General features: G+C 39.7%; 1 protein-coding gene across 2 annotated transcripts in view, besides 2 other annotated features; it reads left to right on the top strand.

The window, feature by feature from the left end:
* Window positions 2,147-2,226: a silencer, noted in NCBI's record as "silent region_20926". NCBI's record gives its function as "represses an Ori minimal core promoter by ATAC-STARR-seq in GM12878 lymphoblastoid cells {active_cell/tissue: GM12878}" and the evidence as "EXISTENCE:reporter gene assay evidence [ECO:0000049][PMID:35858748]".
* The window catches only part of MORC4 (MORC family CW-type zinc finger 4), a 59,475-nt gene continuing 38,437 nt past the window's right edge, over window positions 2,211-23,248 (top strand). For both annotated transcript variants that reach the window (NM_001085354.3, NM_024657.5), the window contains exons 1-7: window positions 2,211-2,555; window positions 2,674-2,746; window positions 9,061-9,193; window positions 16,223-16,440; window positions 17,180-17,327; window positions 20,946-21,078; window positions 21,404-21,532. In NM_001085354.3, the coding sequence (NP_001078823.1) occupies window positions 2,454-2,555; window positions 2,674-2,746; window positions 9,061-9,193; window positions 16,223-16,440; window positions 17,180-17,327; window positions 20,946-21,078; window positions 21,404-21,532 (936 nt within the window). In that variant the 5' untranslated portion in view covers window positions 2,211-2,453. The remainder of the gene's footprint in view (window positions 2,556-2,673; window positions 2,747-9,060; window positions 9,194-16,222; window positions 16,441-17,179; window positions 17,328-20,945; window positions 21,079-21,403; window positions 21,533-23,248) is intronic.
* Window positions 2,237-2,446: a silencer, noted in NCBI's record as "silent region_20925". NCBI's record gives its function as "represses an Ori minimal core promoter by ATAC-STARR-seq in GM12878 lymphoblastoid cells {active_cell/tissue: GM12878}" and the evidence as "EXISTENCE:reporter gene assay evidence [ECO:0000049][PMID:35858748]".

Below are 23,248 nucleotides of genomic sequence, written 5' to 3'. Positions count from 1 at the left end.
TAAAAAGTAAAAAAATGACCTGGGTGTGATGGCATGTGCCTGTAGCCCCAGCTACTCAGGAAGCTGAGTTGGGAGGATTGCTTGGTCCCAGGAGGTCAAGGCTGCAGTGAGCCAAGATCGTACCACTGCACTAAAGCCTGGGTGACACAGCAAGGCCCTGTCTCAAAAAAAAAAAAAAAAAAAAAAAAGTCTGGGTATTAGAAGACAACAAAGAATTAGTATAAATTTTGTTTGGTATAAAAGTGGCATGGTGGTTATGTTTGTTAGAAAATGTCCATGTTTCTAAAGAACACTGAAGTATGTAAAATAAAATGGCATGATGTTTGAGATTTGCCCTGAAATGCTCACAGCTTACAGAAATGGAAAAAAAAAAAAAAGAAAAGAAAAAGAAAAAGAAGAAAAGGGATATAGAAAACAAGTGCCTTAGTCAGATCTGGCTGCTGTTAACAAAGTACCATAGACTAGGTTGCGTATTAACAGCAGATGATCAGGTTCTGGTACGGTCTCTCTTCTGGGTTGCAGAATTCAGACCCTTTCTTGAGTCCTCATGGAAGAAAGAGGATGAGAGAGCTTTCTGGGGTCCTTTTTATGAGGCACTAATCCCATCATGAGGGTTCCACCCTTATGACCTAATTACTTGGCAAAGGCCCCAACTCCTAATCCCAATACCTAATACCATCATATTGGGAGTTAGGATTTCAACATACAAATTTTGGCGGGGCACAAATGTTCAGTCCATTGCAGCAGGTGTGGCAGTCTTGATAATTACTGCATCTGAGTAATAAGTACATGGGATTCATTATATTGTTTTCTGTACTTTTGTGTATTTTAAAAAATTGAAGAAAAGATAACTAAAAAACAGACAAATGTAAAGCACCCAATGGGGGTAAAAAATGATGCTCAAAGGACATAAACAGGCATTTGTAGAAGAGGAGATGCAAATGTATACTAAACATTTGAAAAGATATTCAGCCTTACTGGTAGTCAGGAAAATGCAAATTAAAACAATAAGGAGATACTATTTTTTATTGAAAAGACTATCAAAAAGTTAAAAGATTGGGACCATCTAGTGCTATGAACATGACAAAAGAGCACTGATTGTTGCTGGGAGGGCAAATTGCCTATCTTACAGTATTTATTAAGATTAAACCATGCACATGCTATTAGATGCAGCAGTCTCATCTTTTGGAATTCATTCTGTGGAGATAACAGTATCAGAAATTAATGACCTGTACACGAGTGTGTGAAGGAGCATTTTTTGTATTGTCAAAATTAAAAAAAGAGGACAACCTAAATTACCATAAAGGAATGGTCAAATAAATTATAGTTCATTCATGCCATAGAACATTACATATGTTTTTAATGAATCTGTTTTTCTATTATCAGTGTATATTTATAGTATATTAGAAAACACAGGTAAGAAAAAAGGAAAAAGTGTCTAGTTCCAGACCCAGAGATATCATCTTGGTGTATATCAAGTGGTTTTCGTTGTGTGTGTGTGTGTGTATATATATATGTATGTATGTATGTGTATATGTGTGTATGCATGCATATATATATATGTATATATGTATACATATATATTTGTTTTTCCAATAGAAAAGGCATCATGCGTTCCACAATATGTTGTAACTCCTTGTTTTCTTCATTCCTTCATGAATATTTTTCTACATCAACACATACTTATCTACAAACATGGCCTTCAAGAACTGGATGGTATTTCATTTTATGCATACTTCATAACTCGACCAATCCCCTACTTGGCGGTATTTAAGTGAATCCAATTTCTCCTTTTAGAAACACCGTCCCTGCATGCTAGCAAGACTTTGGAGATAGTTTGCTAATTGCCTTCCAGAAAGTTCTGGGTGCTTCTGGAGGCATTTGAGGCAGAGTAGGTAGAATGTTTTCCCATCAGGCGAGCTTGCTATCTTCCCAGATAGCAACACTGTAGTCTTTAGAACTTGAAAGACTTGTCTTATCTTGCCTGTTAGTCATGCAGCCTAAGCGGGACTAGGTTCCAGAAATCCCATACATGCTCTCCCTCCTCTTGCTTCATTCACGCCCCTCCCCACGCGCCACCCCCGCCCCCCGCGCTTTCCCGCTCGGCGGCCTGGCCTATGGCATACGCCAATAATTAATTAGGGGCGGGGATCAAGGAGCGGCTGTCAGGAGGTCGCCATATTTCTGTACGGCCCAGAGGCAGCCCGGGCAGTCGCCGGGTCGGTAGAGGTGCTGACAGGGCGGAGCCGCCGCTTGCCTCAGCCGGCCTCACCCCTCCCGCCCGGGACAGGTGGCTGGAGCGCGCTCCGCCTCCGCCAGCTGCGAGTGGGAGCGAGGGAGGGCCGGTCCCGGACGGTCGCCGCCAGCTGCGAGTGGAAGTGAGCGAGGGCTAGTCCCGGACCGCCGGGCCAGGGGTCCGGCGGCAGCAGACGGGTACCGTGGCGGCCAAAAAAATGCTCCTGTACCGAGGGGCCCCCGCCGGCCCTGGCGCGCCGGGCTGCGGGCTGGCCCGGCCCGGCGGCGGCCCGCAGGCCTTCGGGATCCGCCTGAGCACGGTAGGTCCGGGGCCCGAGGGGGCGGACGCGCGCGCGGGCCCCTGGGCTGCGGGGGGCGCGCGGGGAGGGCCCGGCGGGCCGAGGCCTCACGCGGGTCGGGACCTTCTCTCGCCCCCAGATGAGCCCCCGCTACCTCCAGAGCAACTCCAGCAGCCACACGCGACCCTTCAGTGCCATCGCGGAGCTGCTAGGTGAGTGGCGAGGGCGGGCCCGGCCGTGTTCGCCCGAGGCAGTGGTGCCAGCGTGGTGCCGCGGACGCGAGAGGAATGCGCAGAGCCGCGCGGGGCGGGCCGGGGCTGGGGTGGGGGCCTCGGAACCGGCCCCGGCTCCGCAGGCGGAGGAGGGGGATGGCTCTCTCGCCAGGAACTAGGTTCCGCTCATAAAACGGAGGAAACGAGGTGTGTCTGAAGCGTTAAAGACACCAGTGTGGTTTTTCTCTCGCGCTCGTGACGTTCGGGCACTTTAGGATAGCTTAGTTAGTAATCAAAAGGAGATGCATAAAAACCTCGGGCCCTGAGGCAGCTGGGTCCGCAGGGGCTGGCGACCGACGGAGGATGCCTAGCTAGCAAAGGGGCGTAGAGGACCGAGGCGGGTCCTGGGGAAAGGTCTGGAAAGCGGAGTTCCTTAACTTTTGAGACAAGAAAAGTTAGGAATGATGGGACATCTCTTAAGAGATGACACGAGTGCATTTGGCTCCCTGCTACTGCGGAGGGCTGGGTCCGTGGTCCACGAGCGCCCTCACACCGCTGGAATGAATATTGAGGACTTAACCTCTCGCTCCACCGGTGTTTGCTTTTAAAGTGTTTTCAGTTGATCCCTTCAAGCCAATTACACCAGTTTTTGCAGTAGTGTGCTACTGTGTGGAAAGCAAAGAAGAAACGCAGTCCTGCACAAAACGCAGCAGCATACAGGGCGCATTATACATGCTTTGAAAATCGAAAGAAGGAAGAAGTGTTTATGGGCAAGGTTGCACAGAACAAACTCTTGAAAATGTTTTCAAAGCTCCCCAAATGAACCCCGGTCTCTACTTAAGCAGTCGCTGTGGCCATGCCATGAGAGTTATCTTGGGTAAGAAGTCAATGGGTAGCAGGGGACTTACTTGGAAGGGTGATAAGAATGATAGAGACCTTTGATGATTAACCATAACACGGAATGCTTTACAATATGTGTAATTTAATTAGAAGGTGAAAGGCAAAAAGTGGAATTGATACGTTTGGAACCCTAGAGCAGAGGGACTGTATCTTTGAGGTTTGGTACTGTGCCTTGGGGCTGTGCACTGAACCTCTGCAGAATGGAATACAATCCAAGTTAAGTATGTAATTTACAAGAAAGACTACAAGGGAGCAAAAAGTAGTGATTTACATAGTGGGGGATGGGAAAGCGAAATGTATTGTTCTCTCATGGTTGGCACGGTGCAGAACGTGATATACCTGTGCTGTGCTTACTGTACTTTCCAGGTGATTTAATGAGTTTCCAATTTGTAATTTTGGATATTTGTGATTTTGGCCATAAGCATTACCTTAAAGAACCTAAGCCGGATCTAAGACGTCCAGTATGAGCGCGAGTATGTGTATGTATTATGCACACACATGCATGCATACATGTATACAAACATAGATTTTAAGACCAAATAACAACTATTTGTGAAAATATTAATAATAGGGAAAAGAGAGAGCAAAGTGTTAACTGGCAATCCAAAGCTTTCATTTTAGGTTTTCCTTCAATCATTTTCTCCACTTAAGCATTAATTTTCTAGTGAATCATTCATTTGGTAAATATTTATTGAGCACCCACTGTGCGCAAGGCCACTGTGGTAGGCACAAAAATGAATACAACACAGATTCACTCTTCTAGTAGGGGAGATAAAACATGTACAGAAGGTTTATGCTTTGTCTAACAACAAAATGGAAATCGATATATAAACAAAGATAAAAACAAGTGCTGTGGGAGTTCAGAGGAAGGAGGAATGGCTTCCAGTTTATCAGGAAGAGGAAGGTTAGGAAAGGCTTTGTGGAGGAGGTGACATTTAAGCTGAGATTTGAAGGATTGGGACATGTGGATATGGGCGGGGAGGAATTCCAGGCAAAAGGAACAACTGCTTGAACAAAGGCATGAAGAATATTGAGTGGAGTTTAATTAGAGCATGGGGTTCACAAATAGTAAAAACGATAGGTACTTAAAAAGTTTACAAGCAGCTTTCACAAATAACTTTTTAACATTACCATTTGAGGTAAACATTTATTTTCATCCTGCAGATGAAGAAAAAGAGGTTCAGAAAATTTAGTTGACTTTTCCAAGGTTACATATATACTAAGTAGCAGATCCAGGACTCAAACACAGGCCTTTTTACGCCAGATACTAAGTAAGGATGAGGTTAAAAAGGTCATCTGGGATCAGGATGTGATTGGGAGGCTCCAATATCTGGCTTTTTAGCCTGAAGTTTTCTGAGCAGGGGAATGTCATGATCAGAGCTGTGCTTCAGGAAAGTCAGTCTTGCAGCAGTGTATACAATTGAAGGAGAGAGATACGGATTTATATGACAGGAGGTTATTGCAATAATCCAGATGAGAGGAAATAAACTCTGTAAGAGACTGACAATGGAAATAGAGTAAATAGGATATGAGAACGTCTAGGGATGCATAGGGTAAAGGAGAGGGAGGGATAAGAAAATTACTTAAATTTCAAATTTGTGGTCTATTCAATGCTAACCTTGTGTGTGTTTGTAACAAAGGAAGAATAGGCTTGTGACAAAAGGTGATGACCTTACCTTTAGGCAGGAATACTTTTAGATACCTCTAGGATTTATGTAGGACAGTAGCTCCACCCTTGGCAATCTTTCATGTAGCCACCTATAGGCCATCCTTCTGGAACAGGGGAGGATGGGAGCCTTATGATGCTATGAAACAGAAAAGGATGAGAGGCTTGTGAAGCACTACCTCAAAGCCATCTCCCATTTGCCATCTTATCTCTCCTGGGAGGCTGTCATGGAATAGTTTCTCATTGCCTCCTAGATTCTGATGAGATAACGAGAGCAGGGGGAAGGTAGAGATGGGGTCCTCCCACGAAGGGATAGCACGAGCCAAGTTAGGAGAGAGAAAACTCCTTGTGATCTGGTAGCACATGGGCTTGTGTGGCCAGGTTAGGGAATGAAGACACTCCAGCATCTGATAGCACACTTCTCACCTAAGTGGTGGGCAGGGAGAGAGGAGTAAGGGTTCTTTCATTGTGCTACCTGTTCATTGGCTGGATGGGCCGGGTTAGGGGAGAAGATAGATTTTCTGGGATCCAATAGCACTTGCCATGTATTGGTAAATTTTTGGAGGGTTAAGCAGCCAGAGGTAGGATTGAAACCAGCCTCCAGATCGGTGCCTTGTTATCATAAGTTCATTTATTGAGGCCAGCCTTATTATTATTGTAATTTCATTTGCTGAGACCGAATGAAGGGCCATGTAAAACTGAAAGTAAGTACAAAACCGTGCTTGCTGGTGCCTCTCTACTGATCTCTCTTTCCCTACTGCTCCAGCTGACCCTGGCCTCTTGCATGCCCCCTCCCCCTTGTATTCCATGAGCTTCCAGCCAAGGAGATAAAATGTTGAGCTGCTCCTGGCAGCTACATTGTAACTCCTGAAGTGCCTGTGTTAAAACTATTTGGTGTGTTCCTGTAAAAAAAAAAAAAAAAAAAAAAGTACCTAGTAAAGTTTGGGCAAAACTTGCAGTAAAGAGGAAAAGAATTGAGATGATTTTGTGAGAGGCCTTTGAGCTGATTCGTTGAATGCACCGTTGGGTAAACATGTAGTTGCAATTGATAGGTGTTACATGTTTGAATCGTGAATGTTCACAAATTGTTAGAAAAGAATACCTCTATGTCCAAAGTTTTCAGTGTATAAATGATGTCCAGTTGATTGACAAGTTGTATCATCAGTCACAGTGCCTTTGGTTGTCTGCCAGCAGGAGTGTCTGATCAGTCCCAACACAATTCATGGCCTGCTTGGCGAGTAAAGGTTCTTGAAACAGTGTAGGCAGCTGTGTAATGCTGAATCCTTTAGTCAGTTAAAGAAAAATACTGCTGCCTCTTACAAAGTAAAGAACTGCATTTCTGATAAAGCTGCCATTGTAGGACAGACTTGTAACTCCTGCCAAAACTTAGCCCACTTGTCTTGCCACATTATATAGGCCCTAGGCCCCCAACCTGGTCCTTAAAGATTGACTATATCATCCATCAACAGAAGAATGGATAAAGAAAATGTGGTATATAGACACAATGGAATACTATTCAGCCATAAAGAGAAGGAAATACTGTCATTTGCAGCAACATGGATAAACTTGAAGGACATTATGTTAAATGAAATAAGCCAGGCACAGAAGGCAAACTATGTGGAATGTTCTAACTTCTATGTGGAAACTAAACAAGTACTAAGTAGCAGATCCAGGATGCAAACACAGGTCTTTTTACTGGAAATACCAAGTAGGGAATGAGGTTAAAAAGGTCGTCTGGGATCAGGGTGTGACCGGGAGGCTCCAGTGTTTGGCTTTTTAGCCTGAAGTTTTCTGAGCAGAGGAATGTCATGAACAGAGCTGTGCTTCAGGAAAGTTAATCTTGCAGCAGTGTATAACATTGAAAGAGAGAGATAAGGATTTATAAGAGTAGTTAGGAGGTTACTGCAATAAGCTTAGAAGTAGAGAGTGGAATAGTAGTTACTAAAGGCTGGGAAGGGTGGGAGGGGGGATAGCTAGAGGTGGGTTAATGGCTACAAAATTACAACTAAGATAAAAGAAATAAGTTCTAATGTTTTATAGCACTGTAGGATGGCTATAATTAATAACAATTAACTGTATATTTTCAAATAGCTAGAAGAATAGATTTTGAATGTTCCCAACAAAAGAAATGATAAATGTTTGAGGTAATGAATATGCTAATTATCCTGATTTGATCATTACACATTGTATAAGTGTATCAAAACATCACATTGTATTCTATAAATATGTACAACTATTATGTGAATTAAAAAAATAAAAACACAAAAAAGTGGCTGCCACTCATATGAAATAAACTTTCCCTTAGGGCCTTCTAAATGAAAAAAAAGAAAAAAAAAAGATTGACTATACCAGGCCTCTTAATCCCCTTCTGGGACTATTGGTGATGCTGTACTACTGTTAAGACGTTTTCTGCTTACAGTCAGTGACAGTTTTATCAATGACTCTGGCAATACCATTGTGACCCTTGAAATTAATCTGTGTTTTGTTTTATTTGATGAACATTCCACATATCCAAGTGGCTGTAACTGATATCATTAATTGTGTTATAAAAAATGGGTGTTTTGCATATTTGTAATACTTCTCTGGATTGTAAGGGGTGTTCCTGGGAAAAAATGATATAATTTGATCAGTAGTAATAGAACAAGTATATGGCCAGGACCTGACCTGGCTGTCTTAGCTTAGCTTTTTGGTATCACTAAAGCAGTATAGGATACCAGGGAAAGGGAAGAGGGTGGAAGGGAAGGACTCTGTCTTGCTCAAAGAGCTTAGTAGAGACAGGAACGATTAAGGAACCTATCCAACAGATTGTATAAACTGCCCCTCAATTGTGGCCAGTGAGCCACATTTGTCAGTGATTGACAATTATGTAAACTGGTGCCTGTGGCAAAAACATGCGGCAACTAGACAGTGGCACCCCCCTGGGGTTGTGGACGTGACACAATTGTTAGACTATGGCAATATTTGATGTCTTTGGAGTCTTAAATAATTAACTCATTGTGAAGACATAAATCAGGAGGAATCGTGAACCTATGTATTTTTTCTACTTTAATTCTATGTTCTCCATTTCCTGAAAGGATGGACAGCCTTACCTTTAAAACTATTACAAAATACCTAAGCAAAAATCACTCCCTCTAAGTATGCTTGCTACCATCACTGAGATCTAGGCAGACCATTAAGTCTTTTGATTTTAAACTCTAACCCTTTCAGTGCCTCTTAGGCTATAAACAGGAATGGCAGTACTCTCTGTGTTCTTTAACAGAGGAGGTGATGTAAGAAAGAAGAAAATAAAATGATCACAAATAAACTGTAATGTGTGTAATATGCATCATCTTTTACCAAAGTTGCTCCTTCAGCTTTTCTCCATAGCCACTCTTTACTGTATGTGTATACAAACAGTAAAGGGGCTAAAAGGCAAGAAGTAATAAGACAAAAATGGAGCAAAATGCTTTGTATATGGGAGTAGTTATTAATACTTTTTTCCAAAGACCCTGAAGTTCGAAGGTGGAAAGGCAGATTGCATATCGCTCGTATGAAATCTGGAAATCAGCTTTAGAACTCAATCTGGCATCATCTCTTTTGTTCTCTATAATTTAGTAAGTGCACTACCGTTAATGCTCCCTGATACCTTCTCAAACATCCAAATGAAGGAAATAAAGGACATTTCTTATGTCTTGGCGTCACTGAACTAGAGATTTTGATACAATATTGGAAAAGGGGATCTAATATCGCAGATTTCTACCTTTTGCAGATAATGCTGTAGATCCAGATGTATCTGCCAGGACGGTCTTTATAGATGTTGAGGAGGTCAAGAATAAATCTTGTTTGACCTTTACCGATGATGGATGTGGGATGACACCTCATAAACTACACCGAATGCTCAGGTAAAAATGTCTTCATTGTCTTTTTCTTGTCTTAAGCTCATGAACCCTATTTAAGGCTTCATAATTTTCATTAATATTTTGCTTTCCTTTTGTTCATTCAACAAATATTTATTAAGCATCTCTTATGTGCCAGGGCACTGGTTATGAAACAAATACTGTTCCTTCCCTCACAGAGCTTTCAGCCTAGCTGGCAACTCAGACAAATTAAATAAGTAATAAAAAGCTATAAGCATAATAAGAAGGTACAGAATGTTTGAGACAAGTCATCAGGGGAGCCCAATCTGATCCCAGAGGTTAGGAAAAGTATCCTAGACAAAATGATATTTAAGCTGAGATCTAAGGGTGAGTACAGTTTAACCAGCTAAATAAAGGGGCAGGGAGCAAGGGATGACAATTCACACAAAGAGAACAGCAAATATAAAGACCCAGAGGCCTTCACTGGTCCGAGACCTCCAATTTATATTAACCTAAACTCACTCTTAAATCAGAAGTATTGGAGTTGGGGTGATTTATTGATTAGAACCACGAAGGTACCTGGGTATAATCAAACCCCATGCAAGGTAAATAGAAGGCATTCAGACATATATTCTTTAAAGGTTTTGCAGTAGAATCACAAACTTAGGAAATTCTCCTTTCTAACTGTTAAAGCTTGTGCTAGATTTCTATTGCCACTGTCAGTTCATTTAATCACTTTAAAACATTTGTAGTTGAGAACGTAAATTTATACTATATCATCTCCGCATATCACTCAGTGGAATATGAGTATTCCTTCAACTCCTTCCTTCTCTCTTCCTTTTAGCAGATGAGGTTGATTACTCTCCCTGTGGCTTCCTGAACTAGAGTGTGTGAAGCACGAGTAACAATGGTGGAATGCTGTGGAGGAGGGAAAGGGCTCCAAACTATAAAAATGGAAAACAAATTCATGTGGTTGTAGTTACCCTTGTAGGTATTCTAAATCAATTACTCTGTTTGTAGGGAAATCCCTTTGATTCATCAAAGAAACAAAAATGAAATTTGGGCAAAGTAAATGGTTGCGTTTTACCACTCAGCAGTCTGTATACCTTGTGTCTCAGACCCTCCTAATTAGAAGACTATTTGAGGAAAACCTCTAAAAGTGAAACAAGAATTGTGACCAGTATGTTAGTGAAGGTAGAAAGTTGGCCCAATCCTTTAACTTATAACATCAGTTTTATATCCTGAAGTTAATATTATATATTAAGAAAAATACAATTTTAGATGGGATGGAACCAAAGCATTTATATGTTCAATTCTGTATGTACTAGTTGGTTGTTTTCCCCGTAAAATTACTTGTCTTCTTATTTTTTGAGACAGAGTCTCACTCCATCACCCAGGCTGGAGTGCAGTGGCATGATCTCAGCTCACTGCAACCTCAGCCTCCTGGTTTCAAATGATTCTCGTACCTCAGCCTCCCGAGTAGCTGGGATTATAGGGGTGTGCCACCATGCCCGGCTAATTTTTTTGTATTTTTAGTAGAGACAGGGTTTTGCCATGTTGTCCAGGCTGGTCTCGAACTCCTGACCTCAAGTGATCTGCCCACCTCAGCCTCCCAAAGTGCTGGGATCACAGGTGTGAACCACCGCACCCATCCAAAATTGCTTATCTTCTTAATGACTCCTTCCCATCATACCTTATCCCATTGACGTGGGTGTTGAGTAGTGGGCCCAGCACATCTGATCTTCCGTTTTGTCTGTGGGACTACATCTGTGAAACTTGGTTAGAGTTATAAGGTAGAAGGGAGGAGAAGAATGGTTTCAAAATAATTGCCACAATTTTTGTTCCAGATTCATTCATTTATTCATTCAACAAATTTTTATTGAGCACCTGTGTGCAAGGCACTGGAGATAAAGTGGTGAACCAGATAGACATGATTCTTGGCTGACAGCTTAATGAGAAAGAACAAAATTGACTAGTAATATAACTAAATAGGCTATTCCACCCAGTGGTAAGTGCTATGAAGGTAGAGCACAGTTTCTTTGAGAACGTATAACAGGGATCTAATCTAGTCTAGGGAATTAAAAAAGGCTCCCCTGAAGAAATGACATTCAAATTGAAATATGAAGGATGAGTATCACCCATTCAAATTTTTTATTCCCTCCCCAAGGAGCAAAATAGGTAGAAACTTTCTTAGCTATAGAATTTTCCCTATCATACCAAATATGTTTACCACTGATTTGAGCTGGGCAATTGTTCCTCCTATTTAAAAAATAATTTTAGAAAATTATTTTAATGAGTCCTTAATGTAATATATGTACTGAATTTTATTTGTGATTGTATCTTGAAACAAACTTGAATCAGCTAGAAGATACCTTTTTTTTTAATTAAAAAAAAATTTTTTTGAGATGGAGTTTCACTCTTGTCCCTCAGGCTGGAGTGCAATGGCATGATCTCAGCTCATTGCAACCTGCCCCTCCTGGGTTCACGCAACTCTCCTGCCTCAGCCTCCCAAGTAGCTGGGATTACAGGCAGGTACAATCACGCCCAGCTAATTTTTGTATTTTTAGTAGAGACGGGGTTTCACCATGTTGGCCAGGCTGGTCTTGAACTCCTGACCCGAAGTGATCAGCCCGCCTTGGCCTCCCAAAGTGCTGAGATTACAGGCATGAGCCACCGTGCCCGGTGAAGATACCATTTATTTAAAAGAGATCATTTAAGGCCAAGCATGGTGGCTCATGCCTATAATTCTAGCACTTCCAAAGGCCAAGGCAGGCAGATTGCCTGAGTCCAGGAGTTTGATGCCTGCCTGGGCAACACAGGGGGACCCCATCCTTACAAAAAAATACAAAAATTAGCTGAACATTTTGGCATGCACCTGTAGTCCCTGCTACTCGGGAGGCTGAAGTGGGAGGATTGCTTGAACCCAGGAAGCGGAGGTTGCAGTGAGCTGAGATTGTGCCATTGTAATCCAGCTTGGGCAACAGAGGGAGACCTTGTCTCAAAAATAAATAAATAAATAAATAAAAATAAAAGAGATTTTTTAGTCCAATCCTAACTTCCAGCAAAGGATTCTATTTTTTTTTTTATTAGATGGAGTTTTGCTCTGTCGCCAGGCTGGAGTGCAGTGGCGCGATCTCGGCTCACTGCAACCTCCGCCTCCTGGGTTCAAGCAATTTTCCTGCCTCAGCCTCCCGAGTAGCTGGGACTACAGGTGTGCGCCACCATACCCAGCTAATTTTTGTAGTTTTAGTAGAGACGGGGTTTTACCATGTTGGCAGCCAGGATGGTCTCCATCCCTTGACCTTGTGATTCACCTGCCTCGGGCTCCCAAAATGCTGGGATTACAGGCATGAGCCACCACGCCTGGCCCGAAGGATTCTATGTTTTCTGGGTTTTTTTTTTTTTTTTGGATGGAGTTTCACTCTTGTTGCCCAGGCTGGAGTGCAATGGTGTGATCTTGGCTCACTGCAACCTCCGCCTCCCGGATTCAAGTGATTCTCCTACCTCAGCCTCCCGAGTAGCTGGGATTACAGGCATGCGCCACCATGCCTGGCTAATTTTGTATTTTTAGTAGAGACGGGGTTTCACCATGTTGGTCAGCTGGTCTTGAACTCCCTAACTGAAGTGATCCGCCTGCCTCGGCCTCCCAAAGTGCTGGGATTACAGGCATGAGCCACCGTGCCTGGTGCTGTTTTCTACTTGAAGGCATATTACTTTTGTATTTGGAAAAAATAATAGAAGTAATTATACAAATTTATTAAGCCTACAGAAGTTCTATTTGACCTCTAACATTTGTTGTTACACTGTCCACACTTTCCAACTCTTTATGCAACTCTATTTTCAGGCTGATAAAATAGTTGTGTAACTGTAGCAACAGTTTCTTCCATAAACATAGACTTTCATGAAAATCAAATTAAAAAGGAAAAACCTATTATTAAATTCCTTTAAGGTCCACAACTAATTATCTTTAGCTTCTGGGGCTAGTGTGTGGATCAGTTAGTCTGTATATTCAGCTGCCTTTTTCAGCAAGGTGGAAAACCTCTTTCAAAGTTCAAAGACTAAAAACAGCCACAGAACCACAGAAGGTATTTGCTACCTGTGCTCAGAAGTGCACTTCCTAGCAGGTGTATTCTTCTAAAACAATAGCTGGAGAATAACAGTCTGCTTAGCACTCTTTCATTCTTTTATATTACATATTAAATCACAAGTATACCTAGGAAATAGCAGTGCCTGCCTTTGTGCACCCATGGATTTTGCCAAGGTTTGTTTCATTGGTCAGAGTCTTTACTTATTTATTATTTTTCTTAACTTTTATTTTTGGTTTGGAGGTACACGTGAAGGTTTGTTACATAGGTAAACACGTGTCATGGCAGAGTCCCAATTTAAATTTACCTCTCTGGATTCTGGATTCTTGACATTTTAAGATACTCCAGAGCAAGCTGCTGTATTTTTGGATTCCACTAAAAGTGCTGGTATCCAAGCCACCTTGATGTGTAAACAGTGTTGTCTCTCACACGAGAGGATAGAGCAGGACTGACTTAGCAAATAGAAACCACCTAAACCAAGTTATCTCTGTGGAAAATTATTACTGAGCTATAGCAAACTATCAAATTCATTATTACAATTCTATTATTATGTGTGGTGAGGGCTTTTGTGTTAGGTAGTTATTTGATTGGTACCTGACATTGATTCTGCCAGTTTGCATTTAAATAGAATGCCGAACATGAGAACTTAGGTGGAATAAAAGAGCACACGGGAAGAGTTAAGTGAAACACAGTAACAACAACAAAAATCCAGAGTTTATAGCTCCTCTCTTCTCGTTATTCTTATCCTTTTCCATTCTGGTTCTGGCCTGGCACTACTACTTATCTTCTCAACCTTGTATCATAATTTGGTCTCCTCAAATTAACACAGTGAGGGTTTATACTTTCAAAGGGGAAAAGAGGTGATAGATGGTGGAAGAGGCTAAAAAATTAAGGGAGTTGTAATCTCCCTATTTTCACCACTTTCCCTTGATCACCTAATTGAAGCTTTTGTGGTATAAGAGAAAGTTGAAGTCCGGTTAACGATACAAATTCATTTGAAGTGATGTGTAAGATTACTATTTATGAAGAGCCCTGAGCTTTAGATGTGACCTTAGGTCTGAAGTAGGAGTAGGGGATAGCACATGACAACTATCAGAATGACTTCTAGAGTTAGTTTAAAATTAATGTTTGAATACTACTTTATACTTAATGTATTTTGCATACAGTATATAATTTAATCCTCATAACAAACCCATTTTTTTTAAAAGCCAATTCTTCCACAAGAAAAATGGGAATGCCTGAATCTTACTATTATAAGTCTGTATCCTGGAATACTAAGGCCCATAGGCAACACAAACTGAAGTTCTTTTTCTTTTTTTTTTTCCCAAAGGACTGCTGCCATGGAAATTACCTTTTTCTGTCACTAGATTTATTTGTAGGATACACACAGCTCCTATAAAGTATCTACTCTAGGAGGACATATGGTATTATTGTATAATGCTTTGAAACAGAAAATTAAAAGGTGGTTCCCTTTCTTAGTGAGTAAACACAAAACCGCAATCTTCAGGAAGTAGAAATCAGATACCTCCGCTCTCCATGCTCAAAAGAGTAAAATTGTTAAAGATCAGCCTGCTCAGTCATGGTCTGACCAGAGTATCTATTTTATTGATGTTGAGAAGCACCTAATCTGTAATATATGAAGTCCTTCCTTAGACTATAAACTCTGAAGGCAAGAATCATGTCTCTTATTAAAAATGGTCTCTAGTGCTTAGCCCAATGCTTGGCACATTGTAGGTGCTTAGTTTAAATATTTATTGAATGAATGATAGTGCACAACATTGTAAAATTAGTCAATCTGGAGAGAAACAATCCTTTTTAGTATGATTTTTTCTTTTATTGATACCTAATATTTTACATATTTATGGGGTACATGTGAGTACTTTATACATGCATACAATGTGTAATGATCAAGTGAGGGTGTTTGGGGTTTCCATCACCTTGATAATTTATATGTTGGTAACATTGGAACTCCTCTTTTCTAGCTACTTTGAAATATGTGATGTATTATTGCTAATTATAGTCACCCTGGTCTGCTATGGAACATTAGAACTTTTTTCTTCTATCTAACTATAAGTTTGTACTCATTTGCCAAACTCTATTCATTTCTCCTTCTCATCCTGAGAAACAATCCTTACAATTAGTTTTATTGATGGTGAGGGAAGATATATAATCATTTTATTTTTAATTTTTAAAGTTCTGTTATTTTGGTGTGTACCTGAATGGAAAATACAAGGAAGGGAAAGGTTCTGGCTTCCAGATTAAGCTGATCAAAAGGGGCTACAGAGATTGTTGAGGCGCCTAAGTGAAAGGTCCTTAATGGAGCAAGAGAGACTTTATACTGCAACTGTTTGCTGATATTCAGAGGCAGAACTACCTATTTTTATCCTTTGGCCACATTCCAATGAACTGTCCCAGCAGATGGAACAGAGACTAAGAATTGGAAGGGTTATCCTTTGAGTGGAGAGTTGAAATTGTCAAGATACATGATCCCTGACTTTCAGATTTCTAGAGGATGATATAAACAGGTTAGGAGATGCCTAATCTAGTACCTCTGACCAATGACAATATCTGGAACTTTTGCTACCCTCTCTAGATAACTACATTTTTCACCTTACCCTAACTTTACTTCTACAGCAATCAGAGCTGTTTTATCTAGACAAGAAAGGCAGCTGCCCAAGGCCTTCTCCAGCTACGTTAGCTGGTGAAAAGGGGCCCTTTTTTACATTTATAAAGTGTGACTCTAACGTAATGGAACTATTTATGTATACACAAACCACACAGGAAAATTAGTCCCATTACCCCATAGTAATTTCCTATGTTTTTAACTTAATAGTTTTGCCCATAAATACCAAAAGGAATAAAAAAGGAAGGACTTTTTACAAGTGTTATTTATTTGTAGGCCAAATATTCTGCCTGTCACCTATCTTAGGATGCTTTTTACCTTTCTGATTTCTTTTTTTCTGATTTGTTTTTTCTTGTGTAATTGCAGCTTTGGCTTTACAGATAAAGTAATAAAGAAGAGCCAGTGTCCCATTGGGGTCTTTGGTAATGGTTTCAAGTCAGGCTCCATGCGGCTAGGAAAGGACGCCCTTGTCTTCACCAAGAATGGGGGTACTCTCACTGTTGGACTTCTATCACAGACCTATCTGGAATGTGTCCAGGCCCAGGCAGTTATTGTACCAATTGTTCCATTCAACCAGCAAAACAATATCCTTTCTGGAAATGGAGAATGTTGGTTAAAAATTAGTCTAATCTGAGTGTTTGATTAGATTCCAACTTCAGGTCAAATCCAACTGTCAGAAGTTTTAAAAGAGGTATTCAAATGTCTTAAATTTAACTGGGATTTTTCTCTATTAAACATTTAAAAAACAAGTAGAACATTGACATAAGCTTAGAAATGTTTTTGCTATATTGAAATTTTCATTGTTAGGCAGTTTGATCTATATAGTGTATCTCTGCTCTACCACCACCCCATGGTAAAGCTCCGAAGGCCTTCCTTTTTTTTTTTTTCCCCTAAGGATAGCTACATTTGCATTAATAGGCCTAGAAACATACTATTTATCAGCTTATATAATAGCAGAATAGCTCATTTCCCTATATCTGCACAGCTGTTACTTCTGTTAGACACCTGGTTCTCTTGACTGGAACAGTATAGCAATAAGGTTTTAACTTATTGCTTCCAAAGAAGTTAAAAAATTAAGCCTTTGATCTTTTAAATATAAGACTTTGTTTACATGATATCTTTGAAGCTATATTCTGCATGGGCAACTGATTTTGGAGCTTGTCTCTACAACCTTTCTCCATTTTTCACCTTTCCTCCTTCTATAGCAGTAATATGCATGCTGTATGTCTATAGTTTTGTCTAAATATGCAATCCAAAGGGCAGATCTTCCTTCTCAATAGCATCCTAAGATATTATTTTTTCTTTGACTATATTTGATTTTACAAAAAATGATTATTACCGAGGATTCATTGCCCAGCCTAGAAGCCATCTTGAACTATTCCATTTTCAACCGTGAAAATGACCTGCTGGCCCAGTTTGATGCCATCCCAGGCAAAAAAGGCACTCGTGTTCTCATTTGGAACATCCGCAGGTATAGTATTCCAAGGGTGATAGATTCTAATAAACAAAGGTAGTATGATGAAACACATTTTTATTTAATTTTAACTTTTAAAATTTTTATAAAAAGACAGGGTCTCATTATGTTGCCCAGGCTGGTCTCGAACACCTGGCTTCAAGTGATATTCCCTCCTTAGCCTCCCAAATTATTGGGATTACAAGTGTGAGCCACTGTGCTTGGCCTAGCACCTTTTAATAACTCTTTTTAGAGTAATTTAGAGCAAAGTAGATAAATTTTAATATATATCTCATTGCATACTTTTATGTAACTTTGTCTTAGAAAAACAAGAGTTCTGGCCGGGTGCGGTGGCTCATGCTTGTAATTCCAGCACTTTGGGAGGCCGAGGTGGGCAGATCATGAGGTTGAGAGATCGAGACCTCTCACCTGGCCAACATGGTGAAACCCCGTCTCTATTAAAAAAAAAATACAAAAATTAGCTGGGCATGGTGGTGTGTGCCTGTAGTCCCAGCTACTTGGGAGGCTGAGGCAGGAGAATCGCTTGAACCCAGGAGGTGGAGGTTGCAGTGAGCAGAGATCGCGCCTCTGCACTCCAGCCTGGTGACAGAGTGAGACTCTGTCTCAAAAAAAAAAAAAAAAAAAAAAGAAAAAAGAAAAACAGAGTTGTTTGAGTTAGTGGTTTTTGTTGGTAAAATGTGGCATGTTTAAGGTGGAAACACACATATCCTGAGGCTATTGCCACAGATAATTAAGACAGTTTAGCATATTCTAAGCTCCTCAGAATCCTTTATAAATATCTATTTCATATTCATGGACATTTTTTTTTTTTGAGACAGAGTCTCTCTTGCCCAGGCTGGAGTGCAGTGGTGCAAACTTGGTTCACTGTAACCTTCACCTCCTGGGTTCAAGTGATTCTCATGCCTCAGCCTCTCGAGTAGCTGGGATTACAGGTGTGCGCCACCATGTCTGGCTAATTTTTATATTTTTTTCTAGAGACGGGGTTTTGCCATGTTGGCCGGGCTGATCTTGTACTCCTGACCTCAAGTGATCCACCCACCCCAGCCTCTATTACTGGCATGAGCCACCGTGCCTGGCCAATAGGCATTTTTTTAAGTTTGGTAATTGATAGTTATTTTACCTATTAGACAATGACAATGAAGTATGAGAAAAAAAATTAGAGTAAACAAAGCACAATAAGATCTTTAAAAAATAAGGAGTTCTGTGTTAGTGCTTTCACAGTAGCTGGGTTAGAAGTAGAAAAATCTGGCCAGGTGTGGTGGCTCACACCTGTAATTCCAGTACTTTGGGAGGCCAAGGCAGGAGGATCACTTGAGGCCAGGAATTTGAGACCAGCCTGGGCAACAAAATGAGACCCTGTCTCTTTAAAAAAAAAAAAAAGAAGTAGAAAAAATCTTTGAAGCAGATAAATATGAACTATAATGAGACTAGGTTAAGATCATGTCTTCAAAACTAATAAAAATCTAGAAATACTTTATGCTATTTCATTTGTTTAATCTTAGCATGTCTAATGGAATACATTTAAGAATGGATTAACACCTAAACACTAAAAAATAACCCTAAAAACCTTTAATATAAAATAGAGGTATTACTGATATGTTTAATAGAAAAGATTATCGGATAAATGTATTCTTCCTTTTCTCCTTAGGTGAAGTATTTTGTCTCATTTACCTGGGTAAAACAAATAAAAACAATGCTAGTTTATATAGAGAGTACTGTACTTAACAATTAAAAGAAGTGTGACTCACACATTGGTAATTTAGATCTTCCCTGTGTCCTACTGAGAAAACCTCAAGTAATATAGTTTGTATTACAAAGAATTTTTTGAGGTATTTCCAGTGATTTACATATCTTAAACAGAACTTTTTCTTTGTATGTCGTTTCCCAGTTATGTATATGGTACTAGGTGGTATACAGGTTGACTTTCCCTAATCCAAAAATCTAAAATCGGAAGTGCTACAAAATCCAAAACATTTTGAGCACAGACATGACAACTCAAAGGAAATGATCATTGGAGCATTTTGGATTTTGGATTTTTGGATTAGGGGTGCTCAACCAGTAAGTATAATGCAAATATTTCAAAATCCAAAAGGATCCAAAACACTTCTGGTCCCAAGCATTTCAGTTAAGGGATATTCAACCTGTATAAATAAAGGATTACATGGTCAAACAAATTTGGGAAAAGCTGACTTAAAGTTTACTGTGTTGCTTTATTGTAGGACTTCTGAGAGTCCTGGAGTCCTTTAATATACTAATGTGCGTTGAAAATATGTAAAAGAGCAATATAGTATGAAGTATTTCCCAATCAATTTTTAAAAAGTATTTCTTCAGGTTGGGTGGTGGCTCACACCTCTAATCCCAGCCCTTTGGGAGGCTGAGATGGGAGAATCGCTTGAGCCCAGAAGTTGGAGGCGACAGTGAGCTATGATCATGCCACTGCACTCTAGCCTGGGCAGCAGAGAAAGACCCTGTCTCTAAGAAAATGTTTCTACAGACCTTTTTTCCTTAGATGGGGAATGTGAGGGACAAGGAGGATAGAGAATCTCCTCAGGGCATATGCATTGGGGTCAGGTGGGGTAGTGAGAATCAGAATTATCCTGGAAAATCCATAATAAGCTATTATACATTGACATGGGCATGATGCAGACAACAGACCATAATGGCTCTGGTGCAGCCCTGTAAAAGGAGCTACAATTTCAACACAGCAGCTCTGAGCTTATAGAGCCTGAAGTATGAAGCAGAGTTATCACTAGAGCTCGAGTTGACTCTGAGGGCTAAGAATGATTTCTCAATTTTATTTGATCATAGAACTTTTATGTATTTATTTCTTTTTAAGAGTATCTTGTGAGATTACTGTTCCACAGAACAAATTTTGGGAAGTACTGTTCTGATATATACATTTTTACTAAAACCTGTCATTTGAGTTTTTTCCAAGAATAAAGATGGGTCTTAACGTTTTTTCCCTGGCAGTGGTTAGTGATATAGCTCAGGGTCTTGGAATGGATCAAAACCAAGTGGCCCAAAAAGATTATGGGAACAAGAAAGGTCCTTATGAAAGGAATGTTAGTACCATTATGTTTAAATGATAATTCTATAAATGGTATCCTAGAGGACTAGTTAAATATATGCTGCTTTTGTAACAATCTTTTTTCCTTTTAAGAAATAAGATTAGATCTGGGGAGATCTTAGTGTCTTATTAGTCTGAAGTTGGTAGAAGTGGGTTTTGATTCATCTGTTTATTCAGTTGGGGAAAATGATGTTGAGTGACTTACTAACAATACCCAGAAAGCTTGTGTCTATTTCAAGATCCCACTTTGAGGATAGCTGACATCCATTTGATTTATCAGATCATAGACATTCCACATTCTTTTTTCCTTATGAATGTGGCATCATCACCTCTATGAAAGAGTAGATTTGTTTAGAATGGGAATACCCTTAAGTATTGTCTGATCCTCTACCCAAGTAGTTTGTAGTTCCTTTGCACTGGTAGTCAGGGAAAGAAACAGATACCTGAGTTTTGGCTCATATTGTTTTTTTTTCTTTTGGGCTCCTAGTGCATTTTTTTGTCCTCTGGAGCCAGTTTTTGTTAGATTGGTACTTGTCTCTTTTCCCCAGAAATAAAAATGGAAAATCTGAGTTGGACTTTGATACAGATCAATATGACATCCTGGTATCAGACTTTGACACAGAAGAAAAAATGACTGGCGGTGTTACCTCTGAGCTACCAGAAACAGAATATTCTTTAAGGGTAAGTAAGAATGGTTTTTCAACAATGAGAGGTAAGATTTCCTGTAACCTGAAAATATTATAGAACAAGATCTTCTTTTAGTTATACAAAGATAACAACGTTCCAGCCATGTGCTAGTATTCCTTTTTATTGTCTCCATTGAGACCGTTTAGATAATATAGTCAGCAGTACTTTAGTGTGGTAGTTTACATAGTGTAATAAGGTATAGAAACTGAGCCAAATCTTTGCCCAGCATAGATATCAGTTGGTAGCAGTGTTTTATGGGGATGTCAGCAGAATTGGCAATATCACATAATAACTTTCCCTTCACCATTCTGTTCCGTAGGCATTTTGTGGTATTCTATACATGAAGCCACGCATGAAAATTTTTCTGCGTCAAAAGAAGGTGACTACCCAGATGATTGCCAAGAGCCTGGCCAATGTAGAATATGATACATATAAACCTACCTTCACAGTATCCTTACAAGTGTACCACTACATGAAGTTGACCTCTTTATTTCAGGATTAAGTTTTCAGGTTGACACAGAAAAACAAAAACTTTCCCTTTCAAATTAAAAAGTGTATGTCATAGTACACATTCTATTACAGTGTACTCTGAGGAAGTCTTTCTTAAATGCCAATCTGTGTACCATTTTTATCAGAAATCACCTGGAAACTGTTGAAATAATAGAATCTTGAGACTTTGGAGATTCTGGTTCAGTAGTGTCTGAAACCTTTTTTAAAAAAAATAAGAATTATTTATTTATTTTAAAATCCTCAGCTGATTCTAATGAGCAGCCAGGTTTGAGAACCTCTGCTATAAGGAATAATACACATTATTTGGTTTGTACTGGATTTTGATATATATTAAATTGATTGAAATTAGCAAAATACTGACTAGAACGTCTTAATCTTGTAGATGCACTGCAATTTTTTGTTGGAACAGGTCCAGACTTACATTGATTGAAATTAGGAGGGTGGAAATTAAAAGGTGATTTTCTAGAGTGAAGTAAATCTTCTTAGGTTTGACATAAATTCCTGGTACTTTTCATAATGGTAGCCACTCAGAGGAGCCATTACTTGTTTTTACTTCTACCTCTCCCTTGCATAGCATTGAGAATGGATTTCAGAAACTAGAAAAAAATCTTAAGATGAACTATGGAAATTAGGTACAACTTTGTTGATGGCTTTTGGGGCAGAAAACATCTTTGAAAGGCTGAAAACTTGCAAGGTTATGAAAAATTGTCCTTTTAATTTATTTTCTAGTAACTAAGCACCACTCTTGGCCCGAGAAACATGTTTACACTCTATTTGCTTTATCAAAGGCATTATCTAGCATGCTTTGTCTTTCCCTGACCAAAAATGAGAAATCGTTGGTCTCTTTTTTCTCCTTTTTGAGAACACATATCTTGGCTACTAGGAATGTTTTCTTAAAGCATAAACAAATCAATTTAATAAAGCCAGAGCTAGCATTGTTTGCTTCTATAGGTGAATTAGTTATAATCTCACCATATGTAGACTAGGATGTTGGTGCCATAGGTTTAACAGAGCCAGTCTAAAGAAGTGCTTGCCAACTACTGTGTTAGGATATAACACATACCTGTCTCTAGCTTTTTTCTTTTGTGGGTTTCTATCAGGGAAACTTCTATGCATGCATTCTATATGTTACCTCGACTCTTCTCAGACTCCCTTCCCATTAAACCAAATTACCTTCCGATATTATAGTTTGGACTAAACAGATTTACTGTAGACATGAGTAAAATGAAAGTCCTAATAAAATTTCCCCCAAGGTCACTGAGGAACAAGATCATTGATACTAACTTACTTACTTCTCAATTATCAAAGGCCACTTCTTTCATCTTTGTTCTCTCTCCTTATGCTAATTTGGTGTCTCCTACCCCACTGTACCCTCACTCCATAATTTAGAATTTTAAAAGTGCACAACAGAAAGAAAAATTTGACAGTCTTTATCTTTACAAAGATAATTTTATGGCATAGGATTTTGGTTTGTTTGCTTGCAGGAGTTTTGTCTTGTTTTGTTTTTGCGTTAGAATAGGTCTTATTTGAGGTTTTATATGAACTGCTAGAGCCCAGAACATTATATATTCTGAGCCAAACATTACTGTGTTATGCACCCACTTGAGTCATGTCTTTGTATCATATGTGACCCATTTGTTATAGGGTTTTGATG

Source organism: Homo sapiens, chromosome X (assembly GCF_000001405.40).
Source record: "Homo sapiens chromosome X, GRCh38.p14 Primary Assembly".
Taxonomy (NCBI): Eukaryota; Metazoa; Chordata; class Mammalia; order Primates; family Hominidae; genus Homo; species Homo sapiens.
The sequence above is the reverse complement of the archived record's forward strand: the minus strand, read 5'-3'. Positions and strand labels throughout refer to the sequence as shown.